This window comes from Homo sapiens, chromosome 3 (genome assembly GCF_000001405.40).
Source record: "Homo sapiens chromosome 3, GRCh38.p14 Primary Assembly".
NCBI classification, from domain to species: domain Eukaryota; kingdom Metazoa; phylum Chordata; class Mammalia; order Primates; family Hominidae; genus Homo; species Homo sapiens.
The window spans coordinates 149,034,277-149,058,865 of record NC_000003.12 but is presented as its reverse complement, the minus strand read 5'-3'; the positions used below and the strand labels follow the sequence as shown (position 1 = coordinate 149,058,865).

The window sequence follows — 24,589 nt, the reverse complement described above, 5'->3', positions numbered from 1 at the left end:
CACTTTCAGTTGCAGATGCATAGCTGTGATACAAGAGAGAACATTTTCAAAGTCACAGCTGTGTGTCATTTTGGTTTTAACCAAACTAAGTATATCTTTGAAAGAGAAGCAGAATAGAAACAAAACTCTGTGAATGGAGACAGAAGCCATAATCCTGATTGTCCTTGTGGTAGATAGTGATCTCTTTAGTAAGACACAAAAGGTCATAAGGAAAAGATTGATTAAATGCCACTACATTTTAAATTTCCATGCATCAAAAGGTGCCATAAACAAAGTAAAAAATGATAAAACTGAAGAAGATAATGTGTATTAAGTGTAACTGACAAAAGGTTCAATTCTAGACTATGTAAGAACTTTCCAAACAATTGGAAAAAGACCACCCAATAGGAGAATAGTCAAAGGATGTACATATGGAGTCCATAGAAAGAAAACCCAAATAACCAGTTAACACTGGAAAAAATATGCTGATTCAGAATTATTGGGGAGATGCAAATTAAAGGAATAGTGGCAGCAGGCATGGTGGCACATGCCTGAAATTGCAGCACTTTGGGAGGCCGAGGCCCATGAGTTCAAGATCAGGGGTGGGCAACATGGCAAAATCCTGTTTCTACAAAAAAATACACAAAATTAGCCAGGCATGGTAGCACATGCCTGTAGTCCCAGCTACTTGAGCCTGGGAGGTCAAGGCTGCAGTGAGCCATAATAGCGCCACTGCATTCCAGCCTGGGTGACAGAGCGAGACCATGTCTCAAAAACATAAAATAAAGGAATAGGGGGATGCTCTTACCCTTCATATTTTCAGACATTAAAAAATCTCACAATGCCAAGTATTGACAAAGTTGTGCAGCAATAGGAATTCGTGCATTGTTGATGGGAGCGCCAATTACCAAGGAGAGCAACTGGACAAAAATATAATGAAGCTGAATATAGACCATCTGTAACTCTGTAAATATAAATAAGGAGACATGAAAAAATGGTTTTCATTGCAGCATTATTTTAATGGAATATTAGAAATAATGTACATGTTGTCCAGTAGGGGAATGGTAAATAAATTGTAATCTACTTTGCAGTATGATGCTATGAATTGGTTAAAATGAATACACTAGAGCTACAAATACTAATAAGTGTAAATCCCAAACACAGTTGTTCTTTATCTGCAGTTTCACGTTCTACAGTTTCAGTTCTAAAATATTATATACAATAAGGTATTTTGAGAGACAGAGAATGACCACATTCACATAAGTTTTATTACAGTACAGTCATCCCTCAGTATTTGTCAGGGATTTGGTTCCAGGGCCCCCTGTGTATACCAAAATGTGCGCATACTCAAGTCCCACAGTCTGCCCTGCAGGACGAGTATATATGAAAAGTTGGCCTTCCATATACATGAGTTTTGCAATCAGCAGATACTGTTTTTTTGTTTGTTTGTTTGTTTGTTTTGAGACGGAGTCTCACTCTGTCGCCCAGGCTAGAGTGCAGTGGTGCGATCACGGCGCACTGCAACCTCCACCTCATGGGTTCAAGCAATTCTCCTGTCTCAGCCTCCCAAGTAGCTGAGACTACAGGCGCCTGCCACCATGCCCGGCTAATTTTTTGTATTTTTAATAGAGACGGGTTTCACCATGTTAGCCAAGATGGTCTTGATCTCCTGACCTCATGATCCACCCGCCTCAGTCTTCCAAAGTGCTGGGATTACAGGCATGAGCCACCATGCCTGGCCCATTCTGTATTTTTTTTTTTTTTTTTTTTTTTTTTTTTGAGACGGAGTCTCGCTGTCGCCCAGGCTGGAGTGCAGTGGCGCAATCTCGGCTCACTGCAGGCTCCGCCCCCTGGGGTTCACGCCATTCTCCTGCCTCAGCCTCCCGAGTAGCTGGGACTACAGGCGCCCGCCACCTCCCCCGGCTAATTTTTTGTATTTTTAGTAGAGACGGGGTTTCACCGTGTTAGCCAGGATGGTCTCGAGCTCCTGACCTCGTGATCCGCCCGCCTCGGCCTCCCAAAGTGCTGGGATTACAGGCGTGAGCCACCGCGCCCGGCCCATTCTGTATTTTTAATCCACGTTTGGTTAACAAAAATTTGCATGTAAGTGCATCACATAGTTCAAACATATTGTTTAAGGGTCAACTGTATATTGTTATAATTGTTCTGTTTTATTCTTTGTTGTTACGAATCTCTTACTGCACCTACTTTATAAATTAAACTTTATTGTAGGTATATATAGGGAAAAAACATTATATATAGGGTTTGGTACTATTTATGGTTTTAAGTATCTATTGAGGGTCTTGGAACATACCCCCAGTGGATAAGGAGGGACTACTGTAGATAGCACTGAGAGAAAAAAGCAAGTTGTGAATGATACGTAGATACAGTATGATACTTTGCTCACCTTCCAGTTTAATTTTGAAATTAGTGTGAAAATACAATTTTTTAAAAACTCAGAAATTTGCATTTTAAGTTTACTGGAAGATACTCCATTGGTAAGGGATACCATCTCTAGAATTTATTTCAAGAATTTGTAAAAACACTTTATTATCACTATTTTTAAACATGCTCCACAGAAAAGTATTAAGAATTTTTGTTGTAATATATTAGTTACCTATTACTGTGTAACAAATTATCCTAAAACTTAGCCATTTAAAATCAGACATTTATTATCTCACACACTTTGACAGGGCTGGAAGTCGGAGTGGCTTAGCTGGATGGTTTAATGGCTTATGGTCTCTTACGAGGTTGCAGTCAAACTCTTCTTCAGGGGCCGCCGTCATCTGAACATTGGACTTAGGGAGGATCCATTTCCAAGTTCACTCACATAGTTGTCAGCAGACCTCATTACTTGCTGGCTAACTGTAGTCTTCAGATCCTCACTATGTGCATCCTTCCATAAGTTGCCTGAGTGGCCTCACATCGTGGCAGCTGGCTCCACCAGAGTGAAAGATTGGAGAGAGAGAATGAGTATGAGAGTGAGCTTGCACACCCAATACGGAAACTTCTTTTGTAATCTATCTCAGAAGTGACATACTATCTTCTCTGCTATATTCTGTTGGTCACACAGACCAGTCCTGGTGGAGTATGGGAGGAGATTACACAAGATTGTGAATATCAGGAAGTAGAGATCATTGAGGGCCATCTTGGCTGGCTACCAAATTAAATATAACACAAATTCAGAAAACTGCATAAAACAAATGTTCGTCTTAATGAATGACTATGACTATCAGAAAATATTAGAGACTTCCTCCTTGTGACCTACTCTCTGTCATAGTCCTTTGGTTCTTCTCATAATCACTATGTGGATTTTTAGTTTTTTTAAGTGATGAGGTAAAATTTATTCCCTGTTAAAAGTCCATCTGCTTCATTTTAATTGTTCCTAATTTATCTTTTCATGGAGGCACATTATTGCCATCTCCTTATTGACATATATATTTCAGAAAAACAGCTAAAGGTTCTATCAGTGGTTCATTTTTTTAGGAGCTTGTGCAGTGGAGGGGTCAAAGAAAACTGATGTTGAGGAGAGACCAAGAACAACACTGATCATCTGTCCGCTTTCTGTGTTAAGCAACTGGATTGTAAGTCTTTAAGCCCTTTAAAAATGTAACATAATTTATATTTTATCTACAAGGTAGAAAGTATTCTGTTAAAGAGTCATTCATTGGGGTAAATATACTTGGTCATCAGTTCGTATCTAAGTTCAAATAATCATCAGGTGAATTGGATTATGTTTGCTGAATTGAAGAAATTTTTCTTTGAAGATGTGTAGTAGAGAAGAAGGTAAAGGAACATAATCAATTGCTAACATAAGATTTGGTTTGTATTTCTGCCTTTGCTATTTTTGTCCCCCAAAGTGGGAAAGATGTATAGTTTGACTCCTCTACATTTACAGATTGACTGTTGGAACTGTCTTTTCTAAGAGCTATACCAACAATAACTTATTTTTATAACAATAACAACAGTTAGTGAACTCCTGTTTATTTGGTTTGTCCTTAACCTCTTTTAAGGATTTTTCTCATTTAATTCTCATAACTGTTACCCTGATTTTCCAGGTGCCCACATTGAAACACAGAGAGGTTAAGTTGCCTAAGGTCATCCAGCTAATAAATGATGGATCTTGTATATAGTCTCCAACATTTTGAATCTAGAGCCTGTCCTTTTAACACTACCCATCAGAAATTTTTTTTTTCCAGATTGCTTTTCTGTTCTGAAACATTGACATTGGAATGGAACCTCTTGATTAATTGTTTATTTGCAGCCTGGATATGTTTTCTTCCTAGTTTGAGCTTCAAACTTCTTGTTATGATGAAATAATGACTCTCTTGGAATCCCTGTGAATATAAGGACCACTCACCGTTCTTGCCACTTCCAAGTTATCTGTTTATCTCTCATCGCCATTCTTCTTATGTCAGAGGAGGAAGAGATCCTACTCTTTTTAAGACCAGTATTTAGTCTCTACATTGGATTCTCTCTTTTCCCACATTGCTCATCTGTTCTTTTTTCCCTTGTTTATTTAGTCTCTTCCCACTGGCTCTTCCTGATACATACTCAGGTTTTTTCATTTTAAAATACATTCTCTTGATATGCATCTTTAAAAGTTGCTACTCTTCTGCTTTCCTTCACTGTCATACTCTTGGAGGTTAATTTCTACTTTGTGCTTTTACTTACTAATTCCTTAATTCATTGTAATCTGGCTTGTACCATTAGTTCTCTAAATTGCATTGGAAAAGACTACTTGTGATAGTTTAATTGTCAAATTTAGTGGCCTCTTCTTGGCTTTATAGTCTTTTTTTCCGTGACATGAATTATCTTTTTTTATATAAGTTTTTGGTTTATTTATTTATTTTTTAAATTACACCTTGTCCTGATAAGTGTATCATTTTTCCTCTTAGGACCAGAAGAATGAATGTTAATGGTCTGTTGCTATTTTTTTATTCCAACGAAACTGTTCTTTCTTTAATTTGTTGTTTGTTATGGGAAGGATAGTACATGGGTACTTGAATGGCAGTTTTGGGATGAGGTTTAGAGTATTAATGGAGGTATAAACTATCTAACTGATTATTTGAGGGCTTGGGGTATAGAGATGTATTTTTAAAATGGGTAATCAGTATTTAATTATAATTTTATATTTAGGAAAGTTCAAGTAATGTAAAGTTCAGAAAGGAAAGTGTGGCAAAATCTTGCCAAGTGAGATCATGCACACTCTGTGAATTTAAAGGAATGAGAGGTGGTTTGGCATTTAGGGATTCATGGTTGTGTTAGTCCATTCTTGCATTGCTATAAAGAAATAACTGAGGCTGGATAATTTAAGAGTTTTAATTGGCTCATGATACTGCAGGCTTTACAGGAAGTATCGTGCTGGCATCTGCTTCTGGTGAGGCCACAGGAAGCTTACACAGCCTCAGGAAGCTTACACTCTTGGCAGAAGGTGATGGGGACCCAGCATCACATTGCCAGAGTGGGAGTAAGAGAGAGAGTGGAGAGGTGCTACAAACTTAGAAACAACCAGATCTCGTGTGGACTTAGAGTGAGAACTCACTCATCACCAAGGGGATAGCACTAAGCCACTCAGGAGGGATCCACCGCTATGAGCCATACACCTTCCACCTCCAGGCCCCTCATCCAACTCTGGAGATTACATTTCAACATGAGATTTGGAGGAGATGAACATCCAAACGATTTCAATGATCAAGAATTAAAATTTCACAATCTGAACAAGATACCGTCTTCCTGGCTCTCAAGTAAAGGATCTAGCATTCTACAGAGCAGGCTAGAACTGACTTATATTCCCTTTTTTGTCTTCAAATAATCCAGGTAAAGGAATAGAACCTGGGTACCAATCCTACTTCTACCACATATTTGTTCTGGATATTTAGACAAGTAATCTCATGAAATAACACCTATTTCGTTTTCTATTGAGAGGATGATACATACATACATATACAGTAGAGCCTAACACTGTCTAGAGATGGAGTAACTATAGTTCTCTCCCTTTATTCTCCAGAAAAGCTGATTTTCTTCTGTTCCAAGTGTAATCCCTTTACAAATAATGCACTGTCCCATTTCAAGGCCACCCATTGATTCAGTTTTCTCATATTGGATTCTTTGTCATGCTGGATTCTAATTTCCTTTTCTTCTTTACCAAATTTCTATAAGAAATTCTTTGCATTTTCAGCTTTACTTTTTCATGTTTTATCCTCTCTGCATTTTTGCCTTTATTTCATGTTTAATACTTTCTTCAGTCCTTGGTAGTCTGGTTTTTGCTTCCACTCACTACAGAAACTCCCTTTGCAGAGATCTTCAGACTTCAATATTGCCATGTACAATGAGCTCCCCTTTTCCTCTGCCTTGAATATGTTATTCATTTATTATTTGTTATGTCTTATTTTGTAAGCTATCTCTAAACCTTCTTGTAAAGAACTGGAATGAAGATAGATGACAAATTAAAAGTCCACCTTGGTTTTTTTTCTTGAAACTTTTATATTCTTTGGATCCCAGGCCTTTACCCTTTATATTTGTTGTCCTAACTTTTTCTCTGTCTTTGTTCTGGTTCCTATTAAATCTGTCTTTTCTGTATTTCCATACAACATATAATTTTTTAAAAAGAGTATTTTAAAAAATTTTAATGAGATCTCCATCTACTCATCAAGATTCAAAAATTACCAAAAGTCTGACACATGTGCTTTCCTTTTTTTCTTTGCTGGATTGATTTTTTTTTTTTTTTTTTTTTTTACAGTCTTGCTCTGTCGCCCAGGCTGGAGTGCAATGGCGCGATCTCAGCTCACTGCAACCTCCACCTCCCAGGTTCAAGTGATCCTGCTGCCTCAGCCTCTTGAGTAGGTGGAATTACAGGCACATGCCACCATGCCCGGCTAATTTTTGTTTTTTTAGTAGAGATGGGGTTTCACCATGTTGATCAGGCTGGTCTCGAACTCCTGACCTCGTTCCGCCCACCTCGGCCTCCCAGTGTTGGAATTAACAGGTGTGAGCCACTGCACCCGGCCTTTTTTAAAGAAAGAATCTCATTCCATCACCCAGGCTGGAGTGCAGTGGCACAGTCTCAGCTCACTGCAACCTCTGTCTCCTGGGTTCAAGTGATTCTCATGCCTTAGCCTCCCGAGTAGCTGGAATTATAGGTGCGCATCACCATCACCACCATGCCCAGCTAATTTTTGTATTTTTAGTAGAGGCAGGGTTTCGCCATGTTGGCTAGGCTGGTCTCGAACTCCTGACCTCAAGTGATCCACCCGCCTTGGCCTCCCAAAGTGCCGGGATTACAGGCATGAGCTACTGCACCTGGCCTGGAATATTTTTAATTATACCCCAGGCATCATGTGTTTTCTCCCAATAAAAACAAGTCTTCTCCTTACATACCGGTATTCTGTAGACTCTGTCCCTAACGTTTGCTCACTGTACATGCTCTCTTTAGGAAATTTCATTCATTCTTACAGCTGTAAATACTGTCTGTTGTTAACTTTAAAATTCATATCTACACCTCTCACTTCTATCTATAGGTAATTATTTACATTTTCCTAGTATACGTCTTCAGTTAGGTATTCTATAGTGACCAAAAATGATAAAGGTCTAAAATATTCATCTCTTTCTTACTTGGATGCCCACTTTTCCCTTCTTTTTTTTTTTTTTTAAACTTCCTTATATTTTTATCACACAATTCTAGGTAGTCATTCAAGTATCAGAGCATCTTAGTCTTATTATTATTATTCATATTTCATATTTCATTAGTCCCCAAGTCCTATCAGTCTTGTCTTAGTTTCTGTTTTTCACACCTGTCCTTTCCACCCTGTTCCTACTTCTACCTTGCTGGTTTAGGACTTCATCATCTCTCTCCTCATAGCTTCCCAGCTGTGTCTCCCTGGTATCTTCTCTTTTCAGTTTAATCAGACTATTTTTTTCTGCTGAAAATCTTCTAGGTCTGGTTTTTTTCATGATTAAAAAAATAATAATAAGTTTTTAAAACTGATCATGTCCTCAAGAAAGTCAGGGATGATTATTTGTTCTTCATTTTTAGTTACATCACTATTGTGGTTGATACCTGGCAAATAGTAGGCCAATAATAAATGAGTGAAAGAAAGTGGCTACAGTGCTTGAATCTCTGCCCACATCCTTGGAAATATTGGTTGTTGTTCTTTTACTGTTTAATTTTTATATTATTAAGTCTGCTAACTAATGCAGCATTAAAGGGCCTTCTAATTAAAATATTTTTATAAAACTCATTATTGTTTTCAATAACTTTGGTTTTTCCTCCTAAAAATGAAGCAGTTGCTGATTGGTAGGGCCAAGTAAATTTTAAATAATTTATTATTACTGTGTATGTGTCATTTTTCTTATTGTTATTATTTTGGTCTAGACTGAAGGAAACTTGATTTCATACAATTTTAGTAGTTGGATTTGTCACACTACTGCCAGGGCAGTTACTTTTTTATACATCTATTAAGTCTGACACAAATCTGCTCATTGTTAAAAATATTCCTAATTTTTCTTTAGGACCAGTTTGGACAACATATAAAATCAGATGTACACTTGAATTTTTATGTTTATTATGGTCCTGATCGTATTAGAGAACCGGCCTTACTTTCAAAACAGGATATTGTTTTGACTACGTATAATATTTTAACTCATGACTATGGAGTAAGTATTGTTGATACTTAACAGATCTTTTAAAGATTGAATGTAAGAAATATGCCACAGGTTTCTAGAGTGTTCCAAAATTCAGGCTTTATACTTTTTTTTTCTCTTTAGATACTTAACGATATATAGAAAAATAAATGGTTTTTTTTTTTGACTTTTTGCGTGAAAGGGTTGCATTTTATTTAGATGCTAATTTAGGAGTATTTTTCTTTTCTCCACTCCTCCCCTCCCCCTCCCTCTCGATGGAGTTTTGCTCTTGTTGCCCAGGCTGGAATATAATGGTGTGATCTCAGCTCACTGCAACCTCTGCCTCCTGGTTTCAGATGATTCTCCTGCCTCAGCCTCCCAAGTAGCTGGGATTACAGGCATGCATCACCACACTCAGCTAATTTTTGTTATTCAGCAGAGATGAGGTTTCACCATCTTGGTCAGGCTGGTCTTGAACTCCTGACCTCAGGTGATCCACCCACCTTGGCCTCCCAAAGTGCTGGGATTACAGGCGTGTGCCACCACACCCAGACAGGAATATTTTTCATTTAGAACATTTTAAGTTAAGATTTTAAATTTGGATTGTAAGTATATGAAGCAATTTGTAAATGAATTTTATTTTCTTTTTTAATATTCTGGAAAATTGTTTTCTATCACAATGATTTGATTAATATCTCAGTTTGAAGGTATGCTTTTTTTGTAGTTACAGTTCATAAGTTTTCCAGTTAGTCTAATTGTTTTTTACCTTTATAATTCCAATTGTTCAAAAGTTAAAACTTTTTGAAAAATACCTTGCTATCAAAATTTCAGTCTTCTAGTAAAAATATTACCTTTTATATAAAAGAAAGTAATGTTGAATTCAAGTAATTCTTACAACTGCCATTTTCTATATCATTGCTATGTTTTAATCCGAGGTAGAACAGTTCAGTGTATTGACCAGTGACTCAACAGAGAGCTAGACTGCTGCTTGGGTTTGAATGCTAGTTCTGCCACCTGTGGTGCTTTGGGTAACATACTTACTTAGCAGTTTGTGCTTCAGTTTTCTTATCTGTAAAATTAGGTGTGCTAATAAGTACTTATTTTATAAACTTGTGAGTATTCAATAATTAATGTAGTGCTTAAAGCAGTACCTAGCACATAGTAAATTTGATATTAAATAATGATAACAACTAGTTAGCAAATCATATTAAGTACTATTTTACTTTCCTGTGTTTTTTAATTCATATAAAACATTTATTTCAGACTAAAGGAGATAGTCCATTACATAGCATAAGGTGGCTAAGAGTGATCCTGGATGAAGGACATGCCATACGAAATCCAAATGCTCAGCAGACAAAAGCTGTACTTGACTTAGAATCAGAAAGAAGATGGGTTTTGACAGGTAATCATAGCATTAAACTTACTAAAACCTTAAATCTCTAAAATATATCATTATGTAAGTTAGTAAAGTAACTTTGTAAACTTAAAGTGGGTGTAAATTCTGCCCCAAAATTAATCATATAAATAATTTAATCAAATGTTTTGAGTTGTTCTTCATAATTGCCCGTGATATAACAACATTTGACTTATTGATAATTTATGGAACAGTCACTAGACTTATTCTTGAACCTTGGAAATGGAGTAGACACTCTAGTGGAAATGGAGTAGACACTCTAGTCATCCAGTCATAATCTTGATTTCTGTTTCCCATCCTCAAACCTGTTTGCCATTCACAGTACCTTTACTAGAAGGTAAGGAAAAGAATGTAAACTTAAACTAGTTGCTTTTTCCTTCTGCTAGTGCTGCTGCTTTAAAAACTAAATAAGCAGATGTACTTGATAAGGAGAAAGTTGAATTTTCCAGTCTTTTTCTTGGCTAGTGTGTCATGTGAGAGCTAAAAATTAGAGCAAAACTGTATCTTGAGATGTGTATATTTTTAATAAATGATTATAGTCAACACTTGATAGTTTAATTTAATTGATAATGATGAGCCTGGTACAGAGTGCCCATTTTCAATTGTTGTCTTCTCTGATTGGGCCAAATAGATACTCTTACTGGATACTCTGGTTAAAGAGTTATAACAGTTTCCTGTTATTTCTAGGTACTCCAATCCAGAATTCTTTAAAGGACTTGTGGTCTCTTCTTTCCTTTTTAAAACTTAAACCATTTATTGATAGAGAATGGTGGCATAGAACAATACAGCGTCCTGTCACAATGGGAGATGAAGGAGGACTTAGGTAAGTACTTTCAGACAGTGATTAATATTAGTTACAAATAACTGTTAGTAGCTTGAACCAGTTGGCACTTTCTTTACTATTTTAACTTGACTCTTAACTTTTCCTTCTAAAAAGTGTTTATGGCTCAGTACCTTTGTCTTTCAGAACCTAGTGATGCTTGTTTGGAAAGACAAAGATTTCTAATTGTCGATAACTACCCTTCCCCTGTTGTGGCTAAACTGAAAGGAAAGACATAACTGTTTTTTGTGTGTTGCTAAGCCCCAAAGCCCCAAAACCAGCATTAACAGATTTAGCAGGAAACATCGTATATCCTTTGAGGATCTAATATGCATTAAGTTTTCATATCTTATATAGCTTTATTTATTTATTTATGTATTTATTTATTTGAGATGGAGTCTTGCTCTGTCGTCCATGCTGGAGGGCAGTGGCGCGATCTTGGCTCACTGCAACCTCCGCCTCCTGGGTTCAAGCGATTCTCCTGTCTCAGCCTCCCAAGTAGCTGAGATTACAGGTCTGCGCCAGCATGCCCCGCTAATTTTTGTATTTTTAGTAGAGATGGGGTTTCGCCATGTTGGCCAGGCTAGTCTCAAACTTCTGACCTCAGGTTATCCTCTTGCCTCGACCTCCCAAAGTGCTGGGATTACAGGCATGAGCTACCACACCTGGCCTTACATAGCTTTATATAGTGAATGATGTGAGGTACCATGACCTTAGCAAAAGTTGTATAGGAAAGTTTTATGTGGTTGTTTCTGGTGGAGATAGATAAAAGTTGAGAACATAAATTAAAACTCAGTGATAGCCATTTTGCAAGATGTAATGTGGTTCAACTTTTTGGCTAAAGCACCGGTTTATAGACTGAAGATTTGAGAGCTATTAGTGGGATATAAAATCATTATAAAGGTGGTAGCCAGCATTTAAAAAGACAATGAAATAGAGAAGAGATTAGTAAATATCGGAGTGCATGATACATAGTAAGTATTATTTTGTGAAATATTTGTTTCTTTTGTATGTGTTTGTATATTTTTGCTGGATAGAATGTGTTTCTTACTGTGAGTTATAGTGAGAAAGCTTCAAGAGCCACTAACCTAGTTGGCAGTACTATCCACTTGATTCCTCAAAACCAACTATTTAAACTCCAGGAAATTGTATTTATATTTCAATGTTGGGAAAAAACAAGAATTGATACATCTCTTTTTTTCCAGTACTGAGAAAGAAATGTAAAGATTGTGGAACCTGTAAAGCATTTTTCTGTGTTCTGAATTACCATATTATCTTTTTATTTTGGGGGCACTCATTACTTTATACAATTACTTATTTATATACTTTTGATTTTAATATTACAGAATGTAGTATCTTACCCATATTTGTATTCTTACAACATTTAATTCAGTGCCTGGCACTTAATAGATACTTAGAATTTGAGTGTTGACTATTCGGTGATGGAGTTGACAGGACAGTTGAGAAGTAAAAGAGTTAGTGATTGGAACAAAAATGGGGAACAGAACTTACGAAAATAAGGACAGGATATAAAAAGATTAAACTATGTTAGGTATTGAGGGGAAATTTCCATACATTTGTTTTAATAATTTTATTTTTGTAGAATACTTCTGTGATTATCAGATTGGTTAAAATCCCAAATAAGGGATTTTAAAAACACTTTTACAGAAGCTATAAAACAGTAACAAATTAAAATGTTCTGTTTCGTTCTTCTTGGATCAATTTATGTAGAAATTAAAAGTTACATAATTATTTGTTTTATTCTGATTAGGCGTTTACAGTCCCTAATTAAAAATATTACACTTAGAAGAACAAAGACAAGCAAAATTAAAGGAAAACCTGTTTTGGAGTTACCAGAACGTAAAGTATTTATTCAGCACATTACACTTTCAGATGAAGAGAGAAAGATTTATCAGTCTGTGAAAAATGAAGGCAGAGCCACTATTGGAAGGTATGGAGAAAGAAAACCATGTTAAAAATTAGTTTTTGTTTACTTTGTTTCCCATTCACTGAATGACATTATTTAGATGTGTTAGCAATAGTTTGAAGTATACTGAAAGATAATTTGCTTCTATGAATTACAGTGTTTTTTACAAATCAATAAAGTGAATGAAATAATAGTATAATTCACCAGGTAAGTAATTTTTTAAGTTAGGAAATAATTTAAAGCTTACTTTAAATGACAAGTTCTCAATTGCTAGCCAGAAGATTTTGCTTGCTTCTATTTCCAAAATCGTATGGAAATCTGGAAATAGGAACTGATGAAATAGGTTTAACAAGAAGATTAAGGATTGGTAGAAGGTATGAAATTCTGGTCCAAGCAAGATCAGGTTTAATGTGAGCCCACAGGGAACAGAATGAATAAGAGACAAGTGAAAGCAGAATAGGACTGTGAAAGGGGAATCTTCAAAACATAAAAACTTCAGTGAGGTAGGTACAAAGCAGGTTTGATAGGAATTAGAGAGAGTGGGAAAGATTGTTCTAAGCAGCAGATTTCTGAGTTCAAAATCTTCTTTCTTTTCATATTCTTTCAACAAAAATTTATTAAGTGCCCACTGTGTGCCAGGCACTTATACCCATTGGGATACAGCAGAATAAAACAGACAAAAATGCCTGCACTCGAGGAATTTATATTTTAATGGGAAGAAACAGATAATTTAAAAACATGATTAAGTTTTAAGGAATAAAGCAACGAAAGGGGATGGGGAATGCCAAAGCTGTTTTAGTAGGGTATTAAGGAAGACCTCACTGAGAAGATGATATATAGGTAAAGATCTAAAGGAGATTGGGATTAAGGGGTGTTTCAGCCAGAAGGAAGAGCAAGTGTAGATGCTCCCAGTTGGGAACATGCCTGGTGAGCTTGAAGAATAACAGAGAAGCAAGTGTGGCTGGATAGTATGAACGAGAGAAAATAGTCATGATATCAGAGATTTATTGGAATGGGGGTATGTAACGCATATGTCAAGGACTTTGGCTTTTACTTTTTATGACAGGAAACCTTAAAGGGTTTTGAGCCAGGAGAGGGACGTAATCTGATTTATATTTTTAAAAGATCACTCTGGCTGCTGTGCTCAGATTTAGGTTATTTGAATAGGAATAAGGTCAGAAGTAGGGAGACCAGTGGCAGTCAAAGCAAGAGATGATGGTGGTTTTTACCATAGTAGTGATAAAGGGAGTGAGAAATGATTAGATTCTGTTAAATTGTGAACGTAGAACCAACAGAACTTGCTGGTTGATATGTTATGGCATGTGAAAGAGGAATCAAAGATAACTTCAAGCCTTTTTACCTGCATAAGTGGAAGGCTGGAATTGCTGTTTACCAAGACAGGTCTATGGGAAGAGCAGAGATTTTTTTAAGCTAAGATCAGAAGCTCAGTTTTGGACACATTGATCATAGGATGCCCGTGAATTTTCCAAGTAGAGATATCAAATAATTAGTTGGATAGGAGAGTCGAGTTCAAAGTCAGCTATGTGTGGATGGTAATTAAAGCCATGAGATCACCAAGGGAGTGAGTAAAGTGAAAGAGATCTAACTGTGAAGATAGCAATGGCTGGTGAAATAGGAGGAAGGAAGCTTCTAATATTTAGCACATGGTAGGCACTCAAAAGAGATCTCTTAAATTGAAATGCTGAGTATCAGTAAGATATGACCATGCCAGGGAATAATTAGTGTTAGTAAAGGTTATTCTATTTGAAAAAGTTGAAAAAGATTAACTTTATTGAAACTGTTCTCAGAAAATAAGTTATTTTTAAAGTATTCTTTTTAATAGGCTATATATTTACTAACATTTATTTAGCACTCACTAGGTGTTATACATTGATCTTAGTGCTTTAAATGTATTCACAGCAATCCTATTAGGTCAGTATAATTATCCACATCTTATAAGTGAGGAAACTGAGGCACAGAGCAGTTTAGGTGACTTACACTGTTGTCACACAGCTAGTGAGTGACAGGACAGATTAACTCTGGCACTTTGGTTTAGAGCTTGTAAGTTTAATCTTTGTATTATTTTGCCTATTCCTTGCATTCTTGAATATTCAGAAATGTTTGTTGCCATAATACTACCAGTACTAATACTAGCAACAGATTCATGTATAGCACTTAATATAGTCCAGGCACTATTTTAAATACTTTACATGTATTAAATTAAATAACAGTAGTTGTATGAGGTAGGTACTTTTACAATGCCACTGTTAGAACTGAGGAAGCTCAAGACATAGGTTAAGCAACCTGTCCAAGGTTACATAATTAAATTGGCACAGCCAGGTTTTGAATTCATGACCAGCTAGCTCTAAAAATTTGTACTCTTAGCCGTTAGGCTATATTTCTTCTGTTGCCTTAAAATACTTAAATATCAGATGGCCTGGTTATATAATTTTTGGATCACCCATTTCCTTAAGAATCTATGTTGTCATTGTACCACTGTATTTTGTATAGAATGTTTCTGTGGGGAAGCCTGGTTTTTTTTTTTTTTTTTTTTTTCCCTCTGAAGTTCAGCAACTTCTTTGTTGACTTTCCCCTGGGACATGTGATATTATTTAAATCTTTAGATTCCAGGCTTTTCCCCCCTTCTCTTTCCTGGAAAGCTTTCTTTAAATATTGTTTTCTGTTCCATTATTTTATTTCTCTCTGTGTATGTTAGATGTCTTTTATCTGTGTTCCATAGGTATCATTTTATTTCTGATCTTTTACATTTTTTTGTTTAATTTTGATTTTCTCAGTCCTGTTTCCTACATCCTTTTCTATGTTTTTATCAGTGACTAGTCTTTTTTTATATTGGCTTATATTGGTTTCAGTGTGACTTTCATTTCTCTGATGATTCACTGTTTTCTTTCACTTTCTTGAGCCATACCAGCTCATCTTTCATCTCTTCCTGTTCTCTTGCCATATTTTTTCAAAGCTCTTTGTCTTTGCTTTAAGATTTTTTTTTTTTGGAGGAATTGTTTTATTGAGTGGTGTTAAATTGTGACAGTATCCTTGGTCATAATTTTTATTTGCTCTGTGGCAACATTTTTCTGCTGAGTTTTCTTTCACTGCCATGTGTCCCCTACCTTTGCTCTCTGCTGATTATTACTTATATTTGAATATCTTGAGTTCTTCTTGGACTAGCTATTTGCTAGTCCAGATATACAAAAGGGAAAGGTCACAATCATGTCCCCGACCAGCAGGAAATAACCCAATTTACTTAAGACTCAGGGTTACATGTTGAGTTACTTTAGGTTTTATTAGTACACATAAACAGAGATCAGAAACTTTAGGGGTGCTTGGAGTGTAGAGTGCTGTGCCCATAGTCTTTTTTTGAAAATACAGTGCACCTGTATGTTTCTGTATTCAGTTTACCTTCCCTCTTTTTTTGATATAAATTTCTCCATGGAAGCTCAAGTCACCAAGCATGCACCCTGTTCCTGTTTCTGCACATGAGAGGTATTGATTTTCCCCTCAGGGCATGCCATCCATTTTAAAGAATTGTGTTTTGGCAGCTCTGTTTGAGATCTGCAGTCATCCCTCTCAGCATCTTCCTATCTGACTTAGACTGCAATTGGCAGCCATTTCTCATATATTGTGCCTTATTGTTATAGATCTCTCTTGGTTTTATTAGAGTTGCTTTTCTGCTTTTCATTCTTGTTTTGGAGTAATTTCTAGAGAAGAAAAGAAAAATGCCATTTTACTCTGCTGTTTTAGAATAGGAAGTTATTATTGTTTAGCGGACTTAATAATATTTGACATTTTAATCTCTAGGTATTTTAATGAAGGGACTGTCCTGGCACATTATGCAGATGTCCTGGGTCTTTTGCTTAGACTGCGGCAAATTTGTTGCCATACTTACCTTCTTACAAATGCAGTGTCTTCCAATGGCCCCTCAGGTAGGTAAATTTGATTGCTTCATATCATTGTATTTGTCAGAGATACTTAAATAAGAGTGATAAATTTTTTTTATGTGGCATACATTTAGTTTATTTTGTTCTGTCAAATGGAGATTGCTTTTAGTGTGAGACTCAGCTAGGAATACATCCAATAATTTTTTTACCAATGAAATGGAATTATAATGAGGTCTTTCCAGGAATTCCGGTGATAGATACCCTTTGATGAAAGATTCATATTGGATCTGCCTTTTATTGTGTGGTGGTATGTTATTGTCATGTTATAATGATGCTTCTCTATGAGGTATATTATGTGAGTTGGCTACTATTTTGGCTTCTGAATGTTTCTTAAATTTCAAATTTAAATTATGCTTTTTGCCTATGGCAGAAAATGATGAGAGACTTTCCCTACTGGCAAGCGAAACTTTTCCTTATAAGATAGATTAACTTGTCATATTACAAACCTTGCTCTGAAATTAATTTTTCAGCCTTTTCTCTAGGAAATGATACACCTGAAGAACTGAGAAAGAAGTTAATAAGGAAGATGAAGTTAATTCTGAGCTCAGGTTCAGATGAGGAATGTGCAATTTGCCTGGATTCTTTAACAGTTCCTGTGATAACACATTGTGCACATGTATTTTGTAAACCCTGTATTTGCCAAGTCATTCAGAATGAGCAGGTTAGTTTTTTGCTCAGTACAGGTTCAGTGTTTGATAGAGTAGTGTACCTGTCTTTAATATAATAAAAGATAGTATATGGAGTTTTGCACTTGGATTTAATAATATACCTTTGATAGTTAATTATTCCAGTATTTTAATAGGTGATATATTTCTTCTAATGCAACATTTGCAACATAAAAAGATGTTCACAGTCAATATCTTAATTCCGCTGTTTATATCATTGCTGTTCAATAAATGGATTGATAATGTGAGACACAAAGATAATTTTCAGTTTTCTAGTAGTCATACTCTTAAGTAAAAAGAAACATTAAGCTAATTTTAATACATTTGTATTTAACCCAATATATCTAAAATATAAAAAGTATTAATGTGCTTTTTACAAAAAACTAAATCTTCAGAATTTGGTGGTGGTGTATACTTACAGCACACCTCAATTTGGCTTAGCCACATTTCAAGGACGTAATTGCCCCATGTGATTATTGGCTATTGTGTTGGATAAGGTAGGTCTAGATTCTTTTGTGTGGTAGAATTTTTTTGAAGTTGACTAGTCTGTTAAGCAGTCATTCAGCTGGGGTAGAATTTTTTTAAACATTTTAAATTGATATATAACATATGTAGAAAAAATGTATAAATTCATAATTAAATAGCTCAGTCAATTATGAGGTAAACATATTCCTGTATCTGCTGCCTAGGTCCCCTTGTGGCCCCTCCCAACCATTTACCCTCTCCCTCTTCCCCAAAAGTAACCCCACTGTATTGACTTTTAAATAATTTTAGCTTCAGAATTATTTAATTGTAATGGTGTTTTATATATAGTTATTTAAGATATAATCTTATTTTATTAACAGGTTCAAACGGGTACAACAGATGTTGCTTTGGAATGAACTTGATAGGATTTAACAGATCCTAGTAGCTTTATAAGCTATTATAAGCTTTATAAGCTTAATAGCTTTATAAGCCATTAAGATGGATTTTTTTTTAAAGAATAGTACTAAATAGTGTAGCTGTATTGTATTTAGGTTCAATAAATTGTTATTCATAGATTTTTTTTTTAAACTTGCTTACAATGTTATAATTTTTGGTTTCTTGCTCTTGCTTCTAGCTAGTCCAGATCACATACTTTTGCTCCCTCCTTTATCCGTTCTACTTACCACATTATGTCTGGAGTTCAGCATGTTCAGATGTCTCTTAAATGGATGAAATCCATTAAAAGGTTTAATAAAATGTTAGCTATGAGAGATACAGATTTTAGCATACATTTAAAAATTTTTAGGCATATTTATATTTGTTCTTCTGTTAAGTGTTGCTCATACTTCGTTCTTTCTTATATAGCCACATGCTAAATGCCCTTTATGCAGAAATGATATACATGAAGATAATTTATTAGAATGTCCTCCAGAAGAATTAGCACGTGACAGTGAGAAAAAGTCTGATATGGAATGGACATCCAGTTCAAAGGTAAAGTACTCATGTGCAAATATTTGAGTATTTGTTTTACCTTTATATAAGGAAATATACACAGTATATCAAAATCGTAATTCTGCTTTCATTCCTGTCATTTTAGTGTTCTGTTGTTGACCACTGGCTTTTTATTTTTAGTGGTGAATTTGAGGGGAAATGGAATGGGTTCAGATTATTAGAGTGTTCTTTCAGTCTTAATTTTTTGTTTTAAATGAGTAGTCTTTTGCATTTTAGGGAAATAACATTTCAGGACCTTTTCTTTATGATAAAAACTTTTAGACTAATTTTACTGATTTAAAATGGAATCTAATGGACATCTTAATATTTTTTGCAGATTAATGCGCTAATGCACGCATTGACTGACTTAAGAAAGAAGAATCCCAACATAAAAAGTTTGGTTGTTTCTCAGTTTACAACATTCCTGTCTTTAATAGAAATACCACTTAAGTAAGTTCCACAGTGTTTTTCACTTTCAGTAAAAGGATTTTATATAATCATATTGATTTGGATAGCAAAAAAAAAAACTTAATTTGTTTTGCCAGTTTTAGTCATTTTATCTGAAAGATATTCAGAGTCACAATAGAGAATACTTCCTGGCAGCACAAGAATTTAAAGATTAAGTCCTGAATTTATCAGAAAATGACTGACTCAGTGCCTAGCATATTAATAAGTGTTCAATAAACATTTGTTAAAATAAATGAGTGAAAGAATTTATTGAAGAGATTTGTAGTTACTTAACTTTGTTTTATTTTTATAATAATAGTGTTTGTTACTTGTCTCTTTTCTTCCCCCCTTTAGAGCCTCTGGATTTGTGTTTACTCGTTTGGATGGTTCCATGGCCCAAAAGAAAAGAGTTGAATCAATTCAGTGTTTTCAAAACACTGAAGCAGGATCTCCAACTATAATGCTTCTGTCCTTAAAAGCAGGTGGAGTTGGTTTGAATCTGTCTGCAGCTTCTCGAGTGTTTTTAATGGATCCAGTAAGTAGTTCTGTAAATTTTTTCAGAATCTTAGTACTTCTTTCAAAAAAATAAGACAAAAAACTATTTGGTAAATACCTTCATAGTTATAATTAACTGTGAAAATTCTTAGGCAAACTTTAGAAATAAATAACAAAAACTTAGTAAATGTGGATTAAGAGCTTTCTCTTAAGCACTTTACTGAAATCCTCACAACATCCTTATGAGGTAGATACCATTATTAAATGCTCTGTTTTGGCCAGGTGCTGTGGCACATGCCTGTAATCCCAGCACTTTGGGAGGCCAAGGTGAATGGATTGCCTGAGCTCAGGAGTTTGAGAGCAGCCTAGGCAACATGGCAAAACCCCATCTCTACAAAAAAAAGTACCAGAAAAGTTACTCTGGTGTAGTGGTTTGTGCTTGTAGTCCCAGCTACTTGCAGGGCTAAGTCGGAAAGATTGATTGCTTGGGCCCAGGAGGTTGAAGTTTCAGTGAGCCATGCTCCTGTCACTGCACTCCAGCCTGGGTGACAGAGCAAGAACCCGTCTCTGAAAGAAAAAAAAGAAAAAAAATGCTCTGTTTTACTGAAGAGGCAACTGAAGCACAGAAAAGTAAATAATGTGCCCAGTATCATACAGTTAGTAATAGGCAAAACCAGAATCATAGTCCATGTAAATATTTAAGTACTATTATGCTATGCTATTCTACTTTTCTTCTATAATAAATATTAACTGTAATGCTTTTTAGGGTAGTGGTTCATTCAGCCAGCAAATAATGAGATCCTGCTTTGCGTCAGTTTTTATAGGCACTGGGAATCTAACTATAAACAAGATAGACAAAATGATTACCATCACGGTTCTAGTAGTCTTAAGCTTTAATGTGCATAAGAATTAGGTAAAATGCAATTTCCTTTGCATTCAACGTAGAGACTTAGGAGTTCTAGGATTAGACCCAGGAAGCTGCATTTTTAGCATATATCATAGGTGATTGAGGTACAGGTGGTCTAGGATCACAATTTGAGAAACAAATTATCATTAATGGAATGTTCTGAGTACGTTTTAATGCCTAATATAGTGCAGTCAGTTGTGGTTGTGTAGTACAGGCATGAAGGTAGAACAGAGGCTAAAATTCACTTTGAACTTTACTCACCAAGCTGTGTGACCTGGACGTGCATTCACATAGGAGCGTGTTTTTCTACGTGTACAAAGGGGCTGTTTGGCCTGAGAGGACCTTGGACTAATTCAGTTTCTAATTTGCACTGGGTACTATGTGGGCTAAAGGCAACCCTCTGCTGTTTCTGTGCATTCAGACTTAAGATTTGTGGTTGTAACTTGTTACCTGAAACTCAGAAGATTTTTAACATGTAGGAATTCTACTGAGATACATGTAGGAATACTACTGAGATATAAATTTTAGTTACTTGGGTGAGGCTACCTTGTTGATGCATATATGTTTACTCAGGCTTCCTTTTTCCTCCCTCAACTGACGGTATCCTTCTCAGTAAGATTATAACTAGGGTCATCATACTTAGGCCTTCATGGGTGAATATCATGGATATGGTATGGTCTGTTGTATTTTCTTTTTTCTTTTTTTTTTTTTTTTGAGACAGAGTCTTGCTCTGTCGCCCATGCTGGAGTGTGGTGGCACAATCTTGGCTCACTGCAACCTCCACCTCCTGGGTTCAAGCGGTTCACTGCCTCAGCCTCCTGAGTAGCTGGGATTACAGGCACCTGCCACCACGCGTGGCTAATTTTTGCATTTTTAGTAGAGACGGGGTTTTACCATGTTGGCCAGGCTGGTCTTGAACTCCTGACCTCATGATCCACCTGCCTCAGCCTCCCAAAGTGCTGGGATTACAGGCATGAGCCACCGCGCCCAGCCGGTCTGTTGTATTTTCTTGCCTTTGTACTGTGGATGAAGTTTGAAATCTTTGTTTGCAGTATTTTATGGCTACTATAAAAAATATTTGTAACTATAGATTGTTGAATATTAATTAATCCAGTGATAATTCTAGAAGCTGATTTTTAGAACAAATCCCAAATTTTATTTTTCTTGCTTATAATCTTAGTACCAAAGAGGTTAATACCAAAATAATTAGTATGAAAAAGTTGATCAGAGACTAAACGTGTTAACAGTTTTTAAAAATTTACAGAACGTTTTAGCAGTTTTATAGTAAGTTGAGTGTTCTTCATTGAACATATCAAGCTTTCCAATGTTGTTTCTAACTTAAAAGTCAGGTCCGAGAAACATAATGATTCAATAAAAAAATAAAAATTTGCTCATGAAAGTCTTTTACCATTAAATTTTTTTTTCTTTTTTTAAGAGACAGGGTCTTCCTCTTTTGCCCAGGCTGGTCTCAAACTCCTGAGCTCAAGCAATCCTCCCTCAGCCTCTTGAGTAGCTGGGATTACAGGCATATGGCACTGTGCCCAGCTTTCTTTTACCTTTTCATTGAACATTGTATAAGTATTGGGGTAATATGGCCTGGCGCGGAGGCTCATGCCTGTAATCCCAGCACTTTGTGGGAGGCCGAGGTGGGCGGATCATGAGGTCAAGAGATTGAGACCATCTTGGCCAACATGGTGAAACCCCGTCTCTACTAAAAATACAAAAATTAGCGGGGCATGGTGGCAAGCGCCTGTAATCCCAGCTACTTGGGAGGCTGAGGCAGGAGAATCGCTTGAACCCAGGAGGTGGAGGTTGCACTGAGCTGAGATCGTGCCACTGCACTCCAGCCTGGTGACAGAGCGAGACTCCATCTCAAAAAAAAAACCTCATAGTTTTAATTTAAAATTTAATGATCCTTATCCAAACAATTCATGATACTATTTAAAAACCACTTACCAGGGGTCTATATCTTTTTGGTTATTCTTCCCTTTTCATTGTTGCACCATTTTATTGCTGTTGTTGTGTTTTTTGTTTTTTGTTTTTTTTTGAGATGTAGTCTCGCTCTGTCGCCCAGGCTGGAGTGCAGTGGCGCGATCTCGGCTCACTGCCAGCTCCGCCTCCTGGGTTCACGCCATTCTCCTGCCTCAGCCTCCCGAGTAGCTGGGACTACAGGCGCCTGCCACCACGCCCGGCTAATTTTTTGTATTTTTAGTAGAGATGGGGTTTCACCGTGTTAGCCAGGATGGTCTCGATCTCCTGAACTCGTGATCTGCCTGCCTCGGCCTCCCAAAGTGCTGGGATTACAGGCGTGAGCCACTGTGCCGGACCCATCATTTTATTTTTTAGCTTAAAACAGTTCTCATGATCATGTCTGTGTTAATTAGCTAATGGTACTTTTTTTAGCTCAGCTTTAAAGTCAAACTAACGTCAAATACTGATACAGAAAATAGCATCAACAAAAAAATAATTTTTAGGACTTACTGACTCTTAAAACCCCCTTTTTTTTTTTTTTTTTTTTTTTTTTTGAGACGGAGTCTCGCTGTCGCCCAGTCTGGAGTGCAGTGGCGCGATCTCGGCTCACTGCAGGCTCCGCCTCCCGGGGTTCAGGCCATTCTCCTGCCTCAGCCTCCTGAGTAGCTGGGACTACAGGCGCCCGCCACCTCTCCCGGCTAATTTTTTCTATTTTTAGTAGAGACGGGGTTTCACTGTGTTAGCCAGGAGAAACCCTTTTTTTATACTTTTATTTCATGAACAGAGGAAAGTGAAAGAAAACCAGAAAAGGGGGAGAAAACTAAATAGGCCCAAGAATTGTGTCTTTTCTCATATAAATTAAGTCATTTAAGAGGATGTATAACCTTTTTCTGCTGTTAAGCACACATAGATTCTTTTAAAAATGAAAAAAAAAACCAAATTGATTAATCAACAAATACTTATTTTGGGTGCTGATACATATGTCGGGGCCTGTATTAGGTATTAGAAGTAGTAGTAGGGGGAGGATGCCTATCATCATAGTGATTGGGAGGGTGGATTTTTCCCCAGAGTATTTGTGATGTTAGTATCTGACTTCAGGCAGAAAACTTTCAGTCAGAAAAAGATGAATGAATACTAGTGAAATGAAAGGACAAATGCAAAACACTGAAAGATCAGGGCAGTAGTAAAGTAACTCATCCATGTTCTTGTTAGGCCTGGAATCCTGCTGCTGAAGATCAGTGCTTTGACAGATGCCATAGACTTGGTCAGAAGCAAGAAGTTATCATCACAAAAGTGAGTTTTTAAACAAACTATTTTAAGACTAGGTTGATACGATTTTTACAATTAAGCAAGTAATGCATGAATATATTATTATGATTGAGTGTAATTATGCAGAGCAAAATATAAGTCACCTTTTTCCTCCTTCATCAATAATTTAATATATGCTGTTTAAGGGGCCTTTCTCTGCACCTACATTTATAGTTATGTGTACATCTCCTTAAAAACATTCTTTTAAAGATAAATGGAATTATACTTTATTCTACAACATATTTGTTTCCCTTAAAACTATACATTGGAGACTACCTCATAAGTACATTTAGATGAACACTTTTTTTAAATAGTGGTAAAATACAAAATTTACCATTTTGAAGTATACAGTTTAGATGCATTAAGTACATTCATGTTGTTGTGCAACAGCCATCACAATCATCCATCTCCAGAACTTTTTCATCATCTTAAACTGAAACTGTGTATCCATTAAATAATAACTTCCCATTCCTCTCCCCCCAGCCCCTGGCAACTACCATTCTACTTTCTTTCTCTGAATTTGACTACTCTACAAAACCATATAGATATATCGTAATATATTTAACCCATTAAGTTTTTTGCTAATAAAAACAGTGCCATAATGAGCATTATTATATATAAATCTT

General features: G+C 36.1%; 1 protein-coding gene across 9 annotated transcripts in view; it reads left to right on the top strand.

Moving 5' to 3' along the window:
- The window catches only part of HLTF (helicase like transcription factor), a 56,471-nt gene that overhangs the window by 27,668 nt on the left and 4,214 nt on the right, over window positions 1–24,589 (top strand). For 5 of the 9 annotated variants that reach the window (NM_001318935.2, XM_017007079.3, NM_001318934.2 and 2 more), the window contains exons 14-24: window positions 3,466–3,563; window positions 8,491–8,634; window positions 9,865–10,003; window positions 10,703–10,838; window positions 12,607–12,786; window positions 16,576–16,700; window positions 17,198–17,376; window positions 18,710–18,835; window positions 19,173–19,285; window positions 19,637–19,817; window positions 23,868–23,948. In NM_001318935.2, the coding sequence (NP_001305864.1) occupies window positions 3,466–3,563; window positions 8,491–8,634; window positions 9,865–10,003; window positions 10,703–10,838; window positions 12,607–12,786; window positions 16,576–16,700; window positions 17,198–17,376; window positions 18,710–18,835; window positions 19,173–19,285; window positions 19,637–19,817; window positions 23,868–23,948 (1,502 nt within the window). Of the gene's footprint in view, window positions 1–3,465; window positions 3,564–8,490; window positions 8,635–9,864; window positions 10,004–10,702; window positions 10,839–12,606; window positions 12,787–16,575; window positions 16,701–17,185; window positions 17,377–18,709; window positions 18,836–19,172; window positions 19,286–19,636; window positions 19,818–23,867; window positions 23,949–24,589 lie in introns of all 9 variants that reach the window. The other 4 variants (XM_017007078.2, XM_011513093.3, XM_011513092.3 and 1 more) reach the window with 1 other exon arrangement.